Source organism: Homo sapiens, chromosome 8 (assembly GCF_000001405.40).
Source record: "Homo sapiens chromosome 8, GRCh38.p14 Primary Assembly".
Lineage (NCBI taxonomy): Eukaryota > Metazoa > Chordata > Mammalia > Primates > Hominidae > Homo > Homo sapiens.
In genome coordinates this window covers 78,721,690-78,738,942 of record NC_000008.11, presented here as the reverse complement: position 1 = coordinate 78,738,942, position 17,253 = coordinate 78,721,690, and the positions used below count along the sequence as shown (strand labels likewise).

The 17,253-nt window shown below is 32.7% G+C and overlaps 1 protein-coding gene and 1 pseudogene across 11 annotated transcripts in view; both read left to right on the top strand.

The window, feature by feature from the left end:
• Positions 1-17,253, top strand: part of IL7 (interleukin 7) — a 130,420-nt gene that overhangs the window by 66,521 nt on the left and 46,646 nt on the right. For 5 of the 10 annotated variants that reach the window (NM_000880.4, XM_047421768.1, XM_047421767.1 and 2 more), the window contains 3 exons: positions 308-439; positions 2,416-2,469; positions 5,111-6,171. In NM_000880.4, the coding sequence (NP_000871.1) occupies positions 308-439; positions 2,416-2,469; positions 5,111-5,230 (306 nt within the window). In that variant the 3' untranslated portion in view covers positions 5,231-6,171. Of the gene's footprint in view, positions 1-307; positions 440-2,415; positions 2,470-5,110; positions 6,172-17,253 lie in introns of those variants that run through there. The other 5 variants (XM_011517523.4, XM_011517522.4, NM_001199886.2 and 2 more) reach the window with 4 other exon arrangements.
• C4orf46P3 (C4orf46 pseudogene 3) lies at positions 14,569-16,096 on the top strand (annotated as a pseudogene). The gene has a single exon (NR_077236.1). The product of NR_077236.1 is annotated as a C4orf46 pseudogene 3 (transcript).

The following is a 17,253-nucleotide window of genomic DNA, read 5'->3' as shown; positions in this document are numbered from 1 at the left end:
AAAATTGAATAATCTTCTAATATGTTCACACATAAGCGATAAGATCACATAAGCATAATAGAGAAAACAAACTTTAAAAGTCAAGATAATTATTAAACCAAGTTCTAAGAACTTCATGCTGTCACCTAGGAGCCAAACAGTTTTAGTTCTGTTACTTGTCAATCACATGATTAACTGGAATAGAAAGCTGGGGTGGAGGCGGGGCATTACCTAGCAACATAGCTCAAGCTCTAGGCTCCTTAAGAAAGCTTATAATTTCTTAATATTTTATTTGAACCATGGCCCTTCTGACTTTTTCCTATAATAGGAAGGTATGTTTTTATTCCGTGCTGCTCGCAAGTTGAGGCAATTTCTTAAAATGAATAGCACTGGTGATTTTGATCTCCACTTATTAAAAGTTTCAGAAGGCACAACAATACTGTTGAACTGCACTGGCCAGGTAAGCTAAGGACTATTTACTTTGAATAAAAATATTAAATACTCCTGTGCCAAGATACCACTATTCTCTGATGATCACATCCATTATCATAGAATCCTAAGTGTTTATTATCATCTAAAGTTGAAGTATGTTTACTCAATCCTAGAAGAGGAAAGGCTCAGTTTGGAAATACCTATTTATCTCTTGGCTAGAGTGAATTGTTTGTGAAAGGGGAGTAAAAAATAAATAAATAAATTCTTCATTGCCATAATAACTTCCAAGGATACTAGGGTGATATATTGGGTGGGGAATGGTAAATTTCTATATCTAAAACTTATTAATAGCTTTAATCCATATATGTACACATTTACAAGAACTCCTAGTCAATAAAACAGGAAATCAAATGTATTTAACAAATATCTTTATAGGCTTAAACTAGACATAAACATGTCCAACAATTTTCCCTTCTTTAAATAATTTTGATACAAATAGGGCTAATATTTTCCTACTTTTCTACTAGTGGTTATGAACTAAAACAACAAAACCAAATATGGAAGACATCATCTAGAGACTAGACAGCAGTTTCCTTATCTACAAAATGCAGAAAAACATATCTACATTGTGGGATTTGAAAGGATTAAATGGCATAACACATGTAAAGTGCTTAGTACTAAAAAGTTTTCAATATTTAATACAGTGCTTTATTTTATTTGTATTATTTACCTCTTTTTGGATTTTACCAGCTGCCACACAAAACCAAAAGTTTATTTTATGGTTTTAAATATTTTCTTAAATAACATTTTTATGACTTAAAAAAGAATTTTGTTTTGTTTGAGCACTAGTAGTTTCCCATAGAAGGTAAAATGGTAAGATTATCTTTGAATCCTATTGACAGTGATAAAAATGTAGATTATCTATTATATAACTTGGATAGCCTCATTTATCATTGCTTTATGTACTTGATGGAAGCAAGTCTCCTCTTAGTGTGCTGGATTTGCCAAACTTATTTCCAAACTTGCGTCCTTACGTTTGTCCCCTAGAGAGCATTTCTACTTTTTTTTTCTATAAATTGGATCTATTTTGTTCTATGCCTTCAAGGCTCGGCTCAAGATTCATGAAGACTTCCTACTCTAGTCTACCATTTCTTCATTCCTACTTAACAGCGGTTTCAAAGTACTGTCTAATGCAGATAGGTTTTATGTTGCTTGCACATCCAATTAATTAGTTGTGACTGTTGAAAATACTGTGTTGATTATAAGCCTCCACTCTTGGTTCAACTGAAAAGAGTGTAAAACGGAAAACTGATATCACCTCTTGGTCTACTAAGAGGTAAAGGTCTTAGGTATGTTATATATTTGTGATTCTTTCTCTTATGTATTGAGCTTTATATGGATCATCATGTTCCAAAATTAACTGTAGAGAAAGAAAATATGCAAATAATTTAAATCTTTGAAATTAAATTATATTACATTGATTAACTTGATACAAGTCACCTTTTTCTTGAAATAACAAGGCAAGATGTTAAAGCAGTCAGCTACACTGAATTTTCTTCATGAGCCAGGCACGCTACAAGCTTTTTACTATTGTTTTATTTCATTTTGTTTCTGATAAGTGAAGCTTAATAAAATGTATGGCCAGGATTTAACAATTTCTTGTTAACTTTATTTTTATATTGATTAAAATTCAAGTTTTATCTCTGCTACTATACCCTACTATGTTAATTTTTCATACCTCACAGTAGTTAACACAGTACTAGGCAGACCTACAAAATTATGGATTCTGGGTATTCAGAAGACTGAACTATCTTGCTTCTTCCTTTACCCTGATATTCCATTTCTAAATCATATTAATATTTTACTTTCTTAACAATAAGAAATTTAAAGTAGAGTCTCAAATAGATTAGATGAGCTGAAGGCAATATGAAAATTAGCAATTACAAACAACTGGAGGAGCAATGAAGAAATATTCAATATTATAAATGTGACTTTGTTTTTAAGGTTAAAGGAAGAAAACCAGCTGCCCTGGGTGAAGCCCAACCAACAAAGAGTTTGGTGAGAATAATTGTATAATTTTCCTTATGGTTCATCAGGTTTTTACTCAACTTAATTCCTAATTTTTCATTTTGAATTGTTTCCTTCTTATAGCTGGTTTTGAAATAATTTATTATAACATTGATAAAAGGAGAAGCGAGGTGCCCCTCAAAAATTTGATTCCTTTAAATTGCATTTTTAAACCCACTATTTTAAAATAGAAGCTGTTAGGGCAAATACAAAAGCATGATTTTTTTTTTTTTTAGAAGAAGCAGCATTAAAATATTGCAGCTAGCACGTAAAAGAAATGAACAAATAATTTATATAGGAGAAAATAAACTAGATGACAAATACATGAAGAAAAAAAGCCATCCCTGTTAGTTTGTAAAGAAATAAAAATTAAACAATAAGGACTTATCTTATATATACCTCTTTTATTAGTGTAGATTGTACAGTATAAATAATATATAATAGTATATAAACATATATTTATACATATACTACTAGACATTATTAGATAAATTATACAATAATATGGAAAATATTTATGAATGACTTAATAAGGCAGAATACTTAAATGGATCTGACTAAACTTTAAAATGATATAGGTACTAATTAAGTTGAGGCATGGAAAAATGAGCACACCTGGTTCATAAAAGTGATGGATTCTTCTTTTATATTTCCATTATTTGACCAATAGCTACATGGCAACATGGAAATTCCTTACTCTTTTCAGAAAAGCAAAGTGAGCCTGTACACTCTGAGATTTAGGAAATTCTAGGGATTCTATGCAAAGTGGAACATCTGAAGTGAATACAGAAGCTAAAAGCAATATAATCACCCTGAAGGCTTTTCACTAAGAGAATTTGGAAAGTTTAGAAAAGAAAGGTTGGGTGCGGTGGCTCACGCCTGTAATCCCAGCACTTTGGGGGTCCGAGGTGGGCGGATCACAAGGTGGAAAGATCAAGACCATCCTGGCCAACATGGTGAAACCCCGTCTCTACTAAAAATACAAAAATTAGCTGGGCGTGGTGCACGCCTGTAGTCCCAGCTACTCAGGAGGCTGAGGCAGGAGAATCACTTGAACCCAGGAGGTGGAGGTTGCAGTGAGCCGAGATCGCGCCACTACACTCTAGCCTGGGCAACAGAGTGGGACTCCGTCTCAAAACAAAAAACAAAAAACAGAGCAAAAAAAAAAAAACAAAAAAAAAAAAAAAAGAAAAGAAAAGATAACTATTTTCCCAGGATGCAGGGGTAAAACCAAGATTCTCTGTTTTTTACTTTTTAGTGAATGCTTATTCTCGGTGTGCAAGGAAAAGTATGAAATTTTCACATCTGTATATTTCAAATCTGCTTAGGCAAATCAACTTCAACTTGTACTTAAAAAAATTGTCCAGGACCCCCTATTGAAAACAATATGAAAAGTTTGCCTTTATATTTCCCTTTGAGATCTGTTGTTTAATCTTTGAAATGTATTCTTTAAAAAGTATGTGCTAGTGTTACTAAATACATGACAAAAAGAGATCTGAATTTGTGGCCAAATTAAAAATAGGACAGAGGAGCTCAAGATTCAGTCATTATATTTACTTGACATATATTTATTTACTTGACCTTAGCAGCTTATTTATCTTCTTTGCGGATCAGTTTCTTCATCTGTGAAATGAGTTCAAATCATCAAGTTCATATGATGATTAAGCAAATAAAATGAAGTAAATTATGTTAAACACTGAGCACAATATATGACTGAGAGAATACCCAATAACTTGTTATCTAAATTATCTAGTTACCCAATAACTAGTTATAATAGTTTTTATATTGCTTGCACATCCATTTACTTGCTAGTGATTGTTGAAAACACTATGTTGATTTTAACCCTGAAGTCTGGGCTCAACTGTGAAGAGTGTAAAACAAACAACTGATATCACCTCCTGGTCTAGGAAGGGGTAAAAGTCACTGGTATGCTTTATATTTGTGATCAACTAGTTGTTATCTAAGTGAAGAATTACTCTACCCTGCACTATTCCCATTCTCACAGGTCAGAGGACTCAGAGAAATATAACTGAGTCTATACAGAGTTACTCCTTTATATGTCTGTTCATGCCAAGTATCTCTTTCTTCCTACAGGTTGTACAGGTAGCCCTTTTTAAGATTCTTGTCAGGTGCTAAAACCTAGCTTATGAGGCAGGCATCTGACATACTCTGGTGAAGGTTAGTTGTTGGAGGAGACCTTAGGGTACAAGTTCCATCAGCTATATCCTTATTATCTTTGGCAAAATAATCTGAGTATTTTCAATGTTGATTATTCTTCCCACTAAAAATACATTTTTCTACATTAAAGAAACTCAACTGAGTAACCTACAATTACCTTTCTCATGAAATTCCAAACAGTGTTATTATGTCCACTGTTAAACTGTGAAAATGGCGGTCAGCTGATATAGCTCTTTGGAGAATCCTAAGTCTTTAATCACACCAACCTTGAATTTTCTACATGTCAGTTATCACAAAGATAGTTAGAAATCATCGTCTTTAAAATGTCACACAGGATTCTACCTTTTCATTGCACCAGTTTTTCAGTATAAAGTAATATGATGAAAAATAGTATTTTAAAATATATATTTTTGTAAAAATGTGAAGTTTAAACTTTTAAAACTCTATTCTCTAGGAAGAAAATAAATCTTTAAAGGAACAGAAAAAACTGAATGACTTGTGTTTCCTAAAGAGACTATTACAAGAGATAAAAACTTGTTGGAATAAAATTTTGATGGGCACTAAAGAACACTGAAAAATATGGAGTGGCAATATAGAAACACGAACTTTAGCTGCATCCTCCAAGAATCTATCTGCTTATGCAGTTTTTCAGAGTGGAATGCTTCCTAGAAGTTACTGAATGCACCATGGTCAAAACGGATTAGGGCATTTGAGAAATGCATATTGTATTACTAGAAGATGAATACAAACAATGGAAACTGAATGCTCCAGTCAACAAACTATTTCTTATATATGTGAACATTTATCAATCAGTATAATTCTGTACTGATTTTTGTAAGACAATCCATGTAAGGTATCAGTTGCAATAATACTTCTCAAACCTGTTTAAATATTTCAAGACATTAAATCTATGAAGTATATAATGGTTTCAAAGATTCAAAATTGACATTGCTTTACTGTCAAAATAATTTTATGGCTCACTATGAATCTATTATACTGTATTAAGAGTGAAAATTGTCTTCTTCTGTGCTGGAGATGTTTTAGAGTTAACAATGATATATGGATAATGCCGGTGAGAATAAGAGAGTCATAAACCTTAAGTAAGCAACAGCATAACAAGGTCCAAGATACCTAAAAGAGATTTCAAGAGATTTAATTAATCATGAATGTGTAACACAGTGCCTTCAATAAATGGTATAGCAAATGTTTTGACATGAAAAAAGGACAATTTCAAAAAAATAAAATAAAATAAAAATAAATTCACCTAGTCTAAGGATGCTAAACCTTAGTACTGAGTTACATTGTCATTTATATAGATTATAACTTGTCTAAATAAGTTTGCAATTTGGGAGATATATTTTTAAGATAATAATATATGTTTACCTTTTAATTAATGAAATATCTGTATTTAATTTTGACACTATATCTGTATATAAAATATTTTCATACAGCATTACAAATTGCTTACTTTGGAATACATTTCTCCTTTGATAAAATAAATGAGCTATGTATTAACACTGCCAGATTCAGTTAATAAATCTCAACAGAATTTTTAAGATGAGATTTTTAATACTTCACTGCTCTTTAATTTTCTACTTTCATTGAATATATGACCTTTAATAGCCTATTACCAACAATGAATATGAGACATTACCTTCTATGTTAAATTTTAGTCTTTTAAAAGAAACTTGTCTGGAAATGTCTGCAGTCTTCATTCACTGATAAAGGGAAATGGAAACACTATTCTAAGCAGGCCAGAATCTACAAATAGCTGTCAGTTTGCATTGCACTGAACTCACATCCTTCATGCTCTCTCAGCCTCATCACCATCTAGTTATGTGCTGATGGGCTTTATTTGATCTACAGAAGATGCTCTGGTGACACCCTCAGTGTGTGTTGGTAACACCTTCCTGCCTTCTCTCACTTTCCTTGACCCATATGACATTTCACCTTCACTGGTGCGATAGCTGTATAGAATTGTATACACTTCCATACAATTTACTGAACTGCCCCATTAACAGGACTTTGAGTCAAGTATTTTTTTCTGTTTGGTTATCACTGTTAACTCCAGAAAGATGAGTTGATTAACATTTTTTAGAAGCAAATGACTCTTCACCAAGCTTTCTTTCTTCAGATGGACTTTTCTAAGTAGGTTATGCTCCTTCCATCATAAAACATGGTCAACCATGTGGTACACCTCTACCCTGATTACTGGAGATATTGGTAAACCATTAGTTAGAGAAATGAGGGAATTTACATTTCTAAAGGTAAACTCTTGAAACTGTCCTTGAAAATGTTTCCTTCAAGGCTATCTATAATGTTCCCTAACAGTGTTAAAAAAATATATTCTCTCTGATGTTATGGTAAAATAAGGGTCAATATTTTTTAAATGCTTGTTTAAAAACGCTATTAAAATTTTCTTCCTTGGTTTCTGTCATTTGTTATAGTAGATTTGAATTTTTGAGAAAAATTGGACTCAAACAGTGTACTCAGCTTGTACTGTGTGCCAAACGTTTGGAAAAATTACCCACACACTTATGGTTGCATTTCCCTTCTTTGTTTCCTAGCCTCTAACAAGATAGGTTGGCTAATAATGATTTGGGAGAGTATAAGTATATCTACTCCACAATTAGAGATTTATCTCAATAAACATTTTCTTTTAAATATATATTTAAATGCTTTAAGTCAGCATTTTCTAAAGTTTGCCCCAAGAAATGCTAATCCTTGTCAATGCTACAAAAAGAAAAAAAAATAAGGAGGGAAGATACTTATTTTTGATGTGAGTTAAATATTCTCTTGGAGGTTCACAATTCTTATAAGTATATTAAAATCCCTAAAAACTCATTCATGTAGCTGTGAAAAAAATTTAATAGTAATATAGCATTTCTAAAACTTAATTGATTATATAAAACATTTTTACATTAAAAATCCCTAACCTAACACGAGGTTAATATAATTCATAGAATTAAAGCTAATATAACAGCAAGGAGAATCTGCTTTATACAAAGAGTTACGGTTAAAAGTATTTTAAAACAGGTTTTCAGGGAATATGCTGAAGGAAATACTCTTTTCAGGAATAAGATAATTTTCTTAAAATTGATCCATGGGAAAACTGAACTAGAAAAGTTTCTTTGCTTTAGGCCATACTTTCATTGACAGCCAACTTAAGAAGGACATTTTGTTAACCCTACCACGCCATATAAATATTTCTCTAGAAACACGTATCTTGTACTGTAGGTCAGATAATCTTTATGGTGTTCTGTACGGGCAATCTTCATTCATCACGTTCTTACTGCTTAGAATGTTGTTGCAAATTCTACGCCAACCCTGCTTAAGTTTCAAAGGGCATCTCAATTCCTTTTCCTCAATTGCTATGACTTCCATGATAATTCTAGATAATATTAATGTATGTTCCCTTAGTTGTTCATAGCACTTAAGCCTGCATCATTCATTATTATTTGACCAGATTCATCTTAGTACTTTATCTTAAATACAATTTAAATAATCTGTTCATTTGAAATGTTTTATCTACCCTAAAAGAATTATGATCTTTGTCTTCCTTTCAGCTCCTAAGGGGAAAAGCTAGACATATGGTAGTTAGCAAGTCTACAGGAACTGCATTGTGCCATTCTGTTATTAATATCCATTTAAATCATCTAGAAAACACATTTCTACAATAATTTACTTAAAGATGGGTATGATAGCACCAGAAAACATAACTAATTTAGGACAATATGGCCCAACTTTGTGTACTCAAAATCACCATGCATTCTGGGTGCATTCAGGATGATATGGCAGAATTTTCTTTGATTTCTAAATTTCATTTGTTGTGAAACATCTTTTGGCTTTGATTCTGACCAAATAATAGAATCTATGGAAATATCGTAGGACAAGACAATGAAACAAGTAGGTGTATTGATAATTATAAATTCTAACAGTTTTTAATGTCTAAATATAAAAATACATGCAGTCATAGACCCATAAAGTTAATATTTGAGAAAGGTGCTAAATCATCGTTTTGTATTGGGAATAATCTGGGGTTTGATTTGCATCCTTCACATAAAAAGTGGTAAGAATGAAGTACATTTTTCTTGAAAGGCAGCAATTTTCTAAATGGGGGAGAGGTCATTGTTACTTAAGATACTGTTCTAAAAGTGAACTAATTTCATATTCATATTTTACATGAAGAAAGTTAAGGCAAGGGGCAACATTAAAATTTAGTTGTTTAAATTATTGTTGATTACTGATTTATTCTTTTTCTTCAATCTAAGTGTTTCATTCTTTCTGAAGCTTTCCCATGCTTTCCCAGGTGGAACTGATCATTCCTTCATGTATGCCTCCACTGCTCAGCTCAACAAGTAACTCTTAATAACCTACCACCTGTTATCTCTGGGAGAGGGACATATGTTTGCCAATTTCTATCTTCAATGCTTATCACAAATTTTCTTATATTTGAAATAATCTGATTCAAATGAGAACTTTAACCTAAAACTTTAATTGGAAAGACAATCTTATAAAAATCTTATAACATATTCTAGAAATGGTCCAAATACTATCACAAATGGAAGAAGTTCAGCTTGAGGAGCATCCAATCATGTGAGGTAAAAGTCTTCTAGTAGAACCAGCATGATCTTCCAGAAAATTACAAAGTAACCATTATCTACCCCGTCATCTCCTTCTTGCCTGGCATCCCCAGAGCTGAAGAAAGGGAAGAAAAAAAATGGATTTGTTTTTTGCCATGAAAAATCTTAACGTAAAGATTAATGCATCTTGCTGCTTAAGAGAAAGGTGTTACTTTCACTCGGGGTAAATTAAATACTAGGATTGAGACTAATCTGTTCACAGCCAAATAGGGGTTTACTGAAGCTCCAACGTTTGAATAAAGACCACTTATTGGGAAGACGCAACACAAATACATATAATTCATTCACTCAACAAATATTTATTAAGCATCCATCTCTAGTGTGCCAGTTCTGGCCCTGGAGGTACAACAAAGTCCCTGCCTTCATGGAGCATATACCCTAGAAAAGGGAAAACAGTCAGAAAAAAGTTCCATGGGGAGAACATCAGAAAGATTGGTGGAGAAAGGTGGTATTTTAGGTTAGATGAAACAGGAAAGCTCCTATAAAGAGGAGACATTTGAAAATATTTTATTGGTCTCAAATTTTTAACATATAATACATGACTGGCAATATTTACACATTTAATAAATTTAATTGAAGAATCAAAGTGATTTTGCAAGACATCAAAGCAGAATACATCTGCTACAGTACATGATGCCTTCACAGAAATAGAATAGGAAATTATTAAATGTTAGACTTTGAAGTATAGTCTATTGCCCTGAAGAGTTGCAAAGGGAGTAAAAAGCATTCCCATACACTCTTTACCAAGTTTCTGTTCCTCTAATAAGAGATAGTTACATAACCATGGTATATTTATCCAGACTAGAAATTGGCATTTTCGTGTGTGTGATGGTGACTGTGCTGTGCATTGTGGGATATTTAGTGACATCCCTGGTCTGCACCCATTAGATGCCAGTGATCTCCTCCCCCCAAGTACTGACAGTCAAAAATGTCTCTATACTTTGTTTCTTGGAGACAAAAGTTACTACCACTTGAAACCATTGCTCTAGAAGTTGTATAGTTTTATGTTTTACATTTAGGTTCATGACTTATTTGTGTATGAGACATAAAATGTGTATCAAGTTTCATTTTATGCATATGGATATCCAAGTGTTTCATCACCATTTGTTGAAAAGACTACTTTCTCAAATGAATTACCTTTGCACTATTGTAAATTTTGGTAGACTATATTTATGTGTGCATATTTATGGATGCTCTGCTCTGCTCTGTTCTGATGATCTATGTATCCTTTCTCCAATACCACAGTTTTGATTACTATGGCTTTATAACATTTCTAGAAATTGGGTCATTTGAGTCCTCCAGTTTTTATTTTTCAAAGTTGTTTTGGCTATTCTAGTTGCTTTGCCTTTCTATGTACATTTTAGAATCAGTCTATCAAATCAGTAAAAAAAGCTTGTTGGAATATCAACAGAGATTGCAATGGAGACTATAGATTAAACTGGGGAAGAAATGGCATCTGTACTGTACTCTGTTCTTCCTTGGGATTAAGGAACATGGTATATTTCTCTATTTAGTTTTTCTTTGAATTCTTTCCTTAGTGTTTTATAGTTCTCAGCATACATATTCTACAACTATTTAGTTAGATATATGCATGACTATTTATTTGGGTTTGTATGCACATGTGTGCTTTTACAAATGGTATTGTAATATTCAAATTCAGAATTCATAGCTGATATATAAGAATGACTCACTTTTGTATATTGTTCTTATATCCTATGGATATAGGATTATTAAACTCACTTATTAGTTGTAGCGTTTATGGAGTGAGATTTTCTACAAAGACAGTAATGACATCTGCAAAATAGAAATCATGCCTTCTGTGAACATAGAACCTTCTGAAATCTCACTTTTAAAATTCTTAATTTATCTTCTGCATAGCCCCTCCCCCAGCCAAGATGTTGTCAACTTACTTTCTGATGTTTATATTATAAAAATAATAGACATATTGAATTTGTGTTTTAAAATTACCCATTGCCTCCTTATCAGAAGGTTTGGATACATATTTCTCAGGAGTTTGTCACTTTACTGCTATTAAGAAACTCAGCACTAAATTAATAGTCATAAAGAGTTATGATACATTTCTACATTTCCACTTCAAGCAAATTTCAAATTTTCTAGTTTGACTCTTAAAATGTAAACAAATACTTGTTATTGAAATATGTCAATCATTCCTTGGAATGTCAACATGACCTGAAAAGGATTCTGTACTATTCTTCTAAGTGGCCATGTTCTTTAATCATGTGAACTCATTCCTCTGTCCCAACTAAAGGGAAGAGAGAATAGGGCAACTCTCCTAAGTGCAACTAATTAACAGGCTGGCTAATGATCTATTATATATGTCATGCAGCTTGAAAAGATGTGGTGATTTAGGTGTTCTATGCCAGGAATTACAACCACAGTCTCACATGAATTTGCTCCAAATCACAATGAAAAGGAGAGGAAGTTGCAAGGTTTAATTAAGTTGGGCACTGGCAAGCTGAAAGAAAAGGGAAGCAAAAAAGATACACCACAGTGAAGAAGACAACAGAGAATGGACAGATAACTAAGAGAGGCATAGAGGCCCACAGATGTACCAGTCCTTGGAGTTTTCTCAGGACCTAATGGTCTCAGGACCAGTTCTAATCCATATGCACCTTCTGTCAAACCCTTTTTCTCAAGGTAACTGAAAGGATCTCTGTCCCTTATATATGAAAGTTCTATTGAGATTATTTTACACTGAAGAAGGAGGAAATGAGAATGAAAAGCAAATTTATGAACATTAGGGTACTATATTAAGAAACTAGAATTAATGACTAATCTTTGCATCCTAAACAAGACAAAGTAGTTGAGTCGATAACAAACACGCCTTTATTTCTAATGAGTGGGACTAAGGATGAGAGATTAGGGGACTGGAGTGCACTATTAAGGAAATTGATCATTTTGTTTTACACTCAGGTGGGGGAGGAAAGTCTCAGTTTGCTTCAACTCTACATTATACCATGTAATACTTTAAAACTGAGTGCTAAGGATACTTAATTTGATCAATACCTGTGACCACTTTAGGGAGGAATGGGAGACAATTATTTTCTCTTGCTTTTATGTCTCACTAATTAAGGGGCTAAAAAGTATATTCAGGTTATATGTTTAAGCCAGATCAGGTCACTCTCCTATTCCCGTCTTACTCTGAGTAAGCCAAAGTCATATGAATGGCCTCTAAAGCATACATAATCTGGCTGGCTGGTTACATGACTAATTTTCTACTCTTTTCCACACACACACCATTCCAGAGGTACCGGGCTCTCACCACAGAGCCTGTGCACTTATTTAACCCTTTTCATGAAATACTCTTTCCTCTCTTGTACATTTGCACATATCAATCACATTGAATACCCTAACAGAAAGCACTAAATGTTAAAGGAAAATAATCCAAGAAACAAGTATAGTAAACAAAAAAGATATACAATAATGGCTCACCCCTCTTTCAGGTCTGTGCTCAAATATCACTTTTTCAATGAAATCATCCCTGAACACTCTATCTAAAATTGTAACCCTCTTCCACCCTCCCTCACATTTCCCTTCTAACCACCCCCATGCTTTTTCTCCATAGCATTGTCAGAATTTAATATGAAGCATATTTACTTGCTTGACATATTTCTTTTCAATCTTCATCTATTAGGATGTGAACTTAAAAAAAAACAGATTTTTGACTGCTTTGTTCACTGCACCTAAAATAGTGCCTGGTGGGAATTAAATAAAATAAAGTTTTGATCAACATCTAACATGAACATATATCTAACATTATGTAATAAATAATTCATAACATTTACTGAGGCCTATTAAATGTCACAGATTGTGGCAAAGATTTTATACATGTTACTGATAATCCTCAAATTCATCCTGCAAGATACATATAATTATACTCAAAGCATACTTCTTAAATTCAGTCTGTGGTTATCTAACACTACGATTGGGTTAAGGAAGATGTCTTGTTTCAGTATATTGAATATTCTTTCCTGTAAAATATGATTTTAACACATCCCCCATTACTACAGCCACTGTAAAAGGAAAGCACAAGTTAGACCAAATTTGGTTGTTGAAGAGTTTTTGAGTGCAAACAGCAGATCCGAGTCTAATCAGTTTAAGCAAATAATAATAATAATAACTAAAAGCTATTGGGAAATGCATAGAATCTCTGGGAGAGCCAGATAGTCAAGTTTGGAGGCTGTTCAGCCAGAAACAATGCCCAAGTTATAATCACCAACTTGGCACTCTTTCTGGCTGAACAGCTCCAAACTTGGAGGGGAGGACAGTCAGTTAAAGTGCTACCATGGGGAACAGGCCACATGTTGCAATAAGGGTGTCACTTCTTGATGCTCTGCCACAGCTACCTTAGAAGCTCTGTGTCTCTCCACTAAACTCCACCATCCTCACTAGGAAATGGAGGCTGCAGTGTCCATTTCATATTATTTGTTTCAGAATCCAAGTCTGTTCAGTAGTTCCCAAGTCACATGAATACTCCCTCGCTGTAAGAAAGTATAGAAAACTATAAATTCTAGCTACAATTTTGATGCAGTGAGAGTTTCACCATGGAAAATTTGCCAAACATATGATTTTCAAAAGGTGCTAGCCACAATGATGACAAATGCCCATTACAGATAATAACAAAATTTAGATTTGAAATACATCACAAATCAAAATAATTTTTCACTAGAAGACAGGAGTTGGGCAGTGTTTTATATTGTCCAATGTTTTCTACTTAAAATATGGTATCTGAGCCAATAAACGATAAGACCTCTTCCTCCTTGAAAATAGCTTTCGGGTAATGACATCAGTGAGAAAAAATCTTTCTACTGATATAAGAGGGAGAAACATGACAGTGTTTACTAAAAGGGAACGGCATGAGAATAGACTGCCTCAGAGAGGGTATAAAGCTACTCTAGCATACAAGTTGCTTATTCAAATGGCGTTTTGATTTCATTGATAGTAAGACATATGGAAAAACCTATTTTTGAATTTTCAAATTAATAGTTAATTGAATAGCATGTTTCCAAAATGAATCACAGTTAAGGAATTAATGTTTAAAATAAAATTTTAAGTTCCTGATGTTTCTTGAAGAGTTTATGAGTTTTCCCTATAAGAAATATAAGTTTGAGAAGATAAGTAAAAATATATATTTTTAAAACTTTCTAGTTCTTAAAATGTTCCCCTTAACAATAATTAGGAGAAAAATAAAACTTTTTTAAAAAATTAAGCTTTAAATAGGCAAATATATGAAAACAGATCTAAATATTTCATACATATGTAGATATACAGAAATGTAAATATATATTCACCCAAGCCCAACAATAGCATGGCAACATACCTCTTAAATATTTAGATTAACTGTTTTTATTCTATGCTCTATGGAGTAAACCTTTGCTTGTATTACCTGGACTCTTAAAATCATAGGTGATAAAAAGAGAAAGAAAAAAGAACCTGTTTTAAAATGTCCTCTTGCTGGTTGGATTCTGAGCTCCTAGCTCTTCCCCATGGCTGACCTTGAGGAGTTGTGGGTTTCTTCACCAGCTCCCAGAACTTCCCTTTTCTTCCTCATCTTCAAACACCTTTTAGCATCTTTCCCACGCAACCAGTGAGTTTGGGCTGGCCAGTTCTGAGCAGGAACAAGGGCCAAATGGTAGACCTGCTGGAGAAAGTGGAGATGCAGATCAGAGATGCAGCATTTTCATTAACCAAATTTCTTGAGGTCACATCTGCAGTACCAGCTCAAGTGGAATAGCTTGTCTTCCAATGTACAGAAAATGCATGTTTCCTTAAAACCTGGCAGGACCTCTTGAAACAAGGCTATGATTCTTTGAAACCTGATGACTGATTTGGCATGCTTAGTTATTAATGATTGTGTAATAACTCATACTTCCTCATATATGATATTTGCATATGTACTACATGTATAGAATGATCTCTTCCCAGCAGTTCTGTATATACTCAGAATGAAATTTTTCTTGGTTTTCTTGGCCTTTGTGAAAGCAGAAGGCTGACGCTATTTTTGTTGCTGACCAGTACTTGTTTATCCATTAATATTTTCTGCCCTCTAAACTTTTGTATAATCCTTTATGAAAGTTAATTTCATCAGTATATAGTTAATATTAATAGTGCCAAAGTGCTACCAGTGGCAAACTAGGTAGATCGTTATTTATTTTCAACAAGATGCCAAGCATGTCAGAGTTTGAAGTTGAGCTTCAGCTTAAGTACAAACGGAGGTAATTTTAAGGTTGCCAGTGATAGATCCAGTTCCATTAGGTTTAGTTCTCTAGGGCTAATGATTGTTTCTGATTTATTTCTATATCCCTAGCACCTAAAACAGTGTCACACAATAGTCACTAAATGTTTATTGAATAAAAGAGTCGACAAACATAATTAAAAGCTATTTTTCTTCCTATATATAGCATGAAGATTGTAATTGCTTCTCTAGAAAATGTATGAATCCAAACTTTACTAACTTGAGGAAAAACATTCTCTTTACAGAGATTTGAACTTTGATGATGGCTTCTAAATATATATATATATATATATATTTGTACTTCTATATTTTTATAGAAGGCTTTCCTTTGGAAAATGAAAGACTATCTAGAAAGAATGCATGTATTCCCCCCTATTTTTTATGGTTATTATTTTTACAGTTTTTTTGTGGTTGACATTTTTATATGTTTGATTGCTATCTTTAAAGTGCCTTATCAAATTTATGGCTCTGTGCTGTTACCTTTTGAGCTTTGCAAGTTGTTTACATAATAAAGAAGTTACTTTGTTTCCAATGCATCAAACTTAAATGATGTGATTGTTTTTCTATTATTTGACCTTAGTGACAATGTTCTATTTTGCTTGTCCTGTATATATATTACTTTTGGTGTTTTGTATTATGTGTCAAGGATAAGCCAATTAATTCTCTACCATATATAACTTCTGAACATCTTTGATATGGCATCTTAACTCTTTGTAGATATGGAGATATGTACATAACTATATTCTAAAGCCCCACAATGGGGCTATGAAAGGGGACAGATGGATGGGCAAAGAAGAGTTTTGTTTATCATATTAGATCATAGTTCTTGATTAGTTTTCTTAGTTAAAGATCACACATAGGGTGTGGTTTCTATACCAAAGACATGCTTATTTCAGTATAAGAAAAATAGTTTTCTTACACATCCTGAAAATTGCGATTTTTAAAATGTGCAAAATAAATTCTTATTGAAAGCAAAAAATAAAAATTTTAAAATTAAAAAATAGAATGTCCTCTTGAATGAAATTTAGGAAAAATAATTTCGTTAAAATTATACCTCTAGTTGACAGGCCACTTTCAGCAATACAGCTTTTATAAAAATAAACTAGCTTAAGTAGATCACAGGACATTTGTGGACATTAGAAAACAACGTAAAAGGCGGCAGTTTCAGATTAAATATTGCAGATGAACATGAGTAACTCTGAAAAACAGAAACCTATTTGCTTTTTAAAAATTATAATGGTAATGTGCATTTATTTTAAAAATTGACAATATACAAAATATAAAAGATAACTTACCAAATATCCTTTGGTAGAAATAAGCATAATATTGAGAAATATATTTCTAGCCTTTTGTCTTTGCACTTTTTTATGTAATTGGAATATTTTATATACAAACGTTATTTGAAAATTTTTATCTTAGCAATAAAACAACCTTGTGATTCCATTAAAATTATTTAAAATTGATTTAATGGCCAATTTCTTCAATTTTATCACTATATAGTACTATTAATCATGTTTTGCATAAATATTTTCCTATACTTCAGATTATTTCCCTAAGTGTGTCTTAGAAATAAAATTACTAAGTTATGAAGCACAAATGTTGTAAAGGCTTTTAACGTAAATTTAATCGACCTTTTCAAAAAGTATGATCTATTTATATTTCCACCATCAGTACATAAGGGCATTCATCTTAACGCCC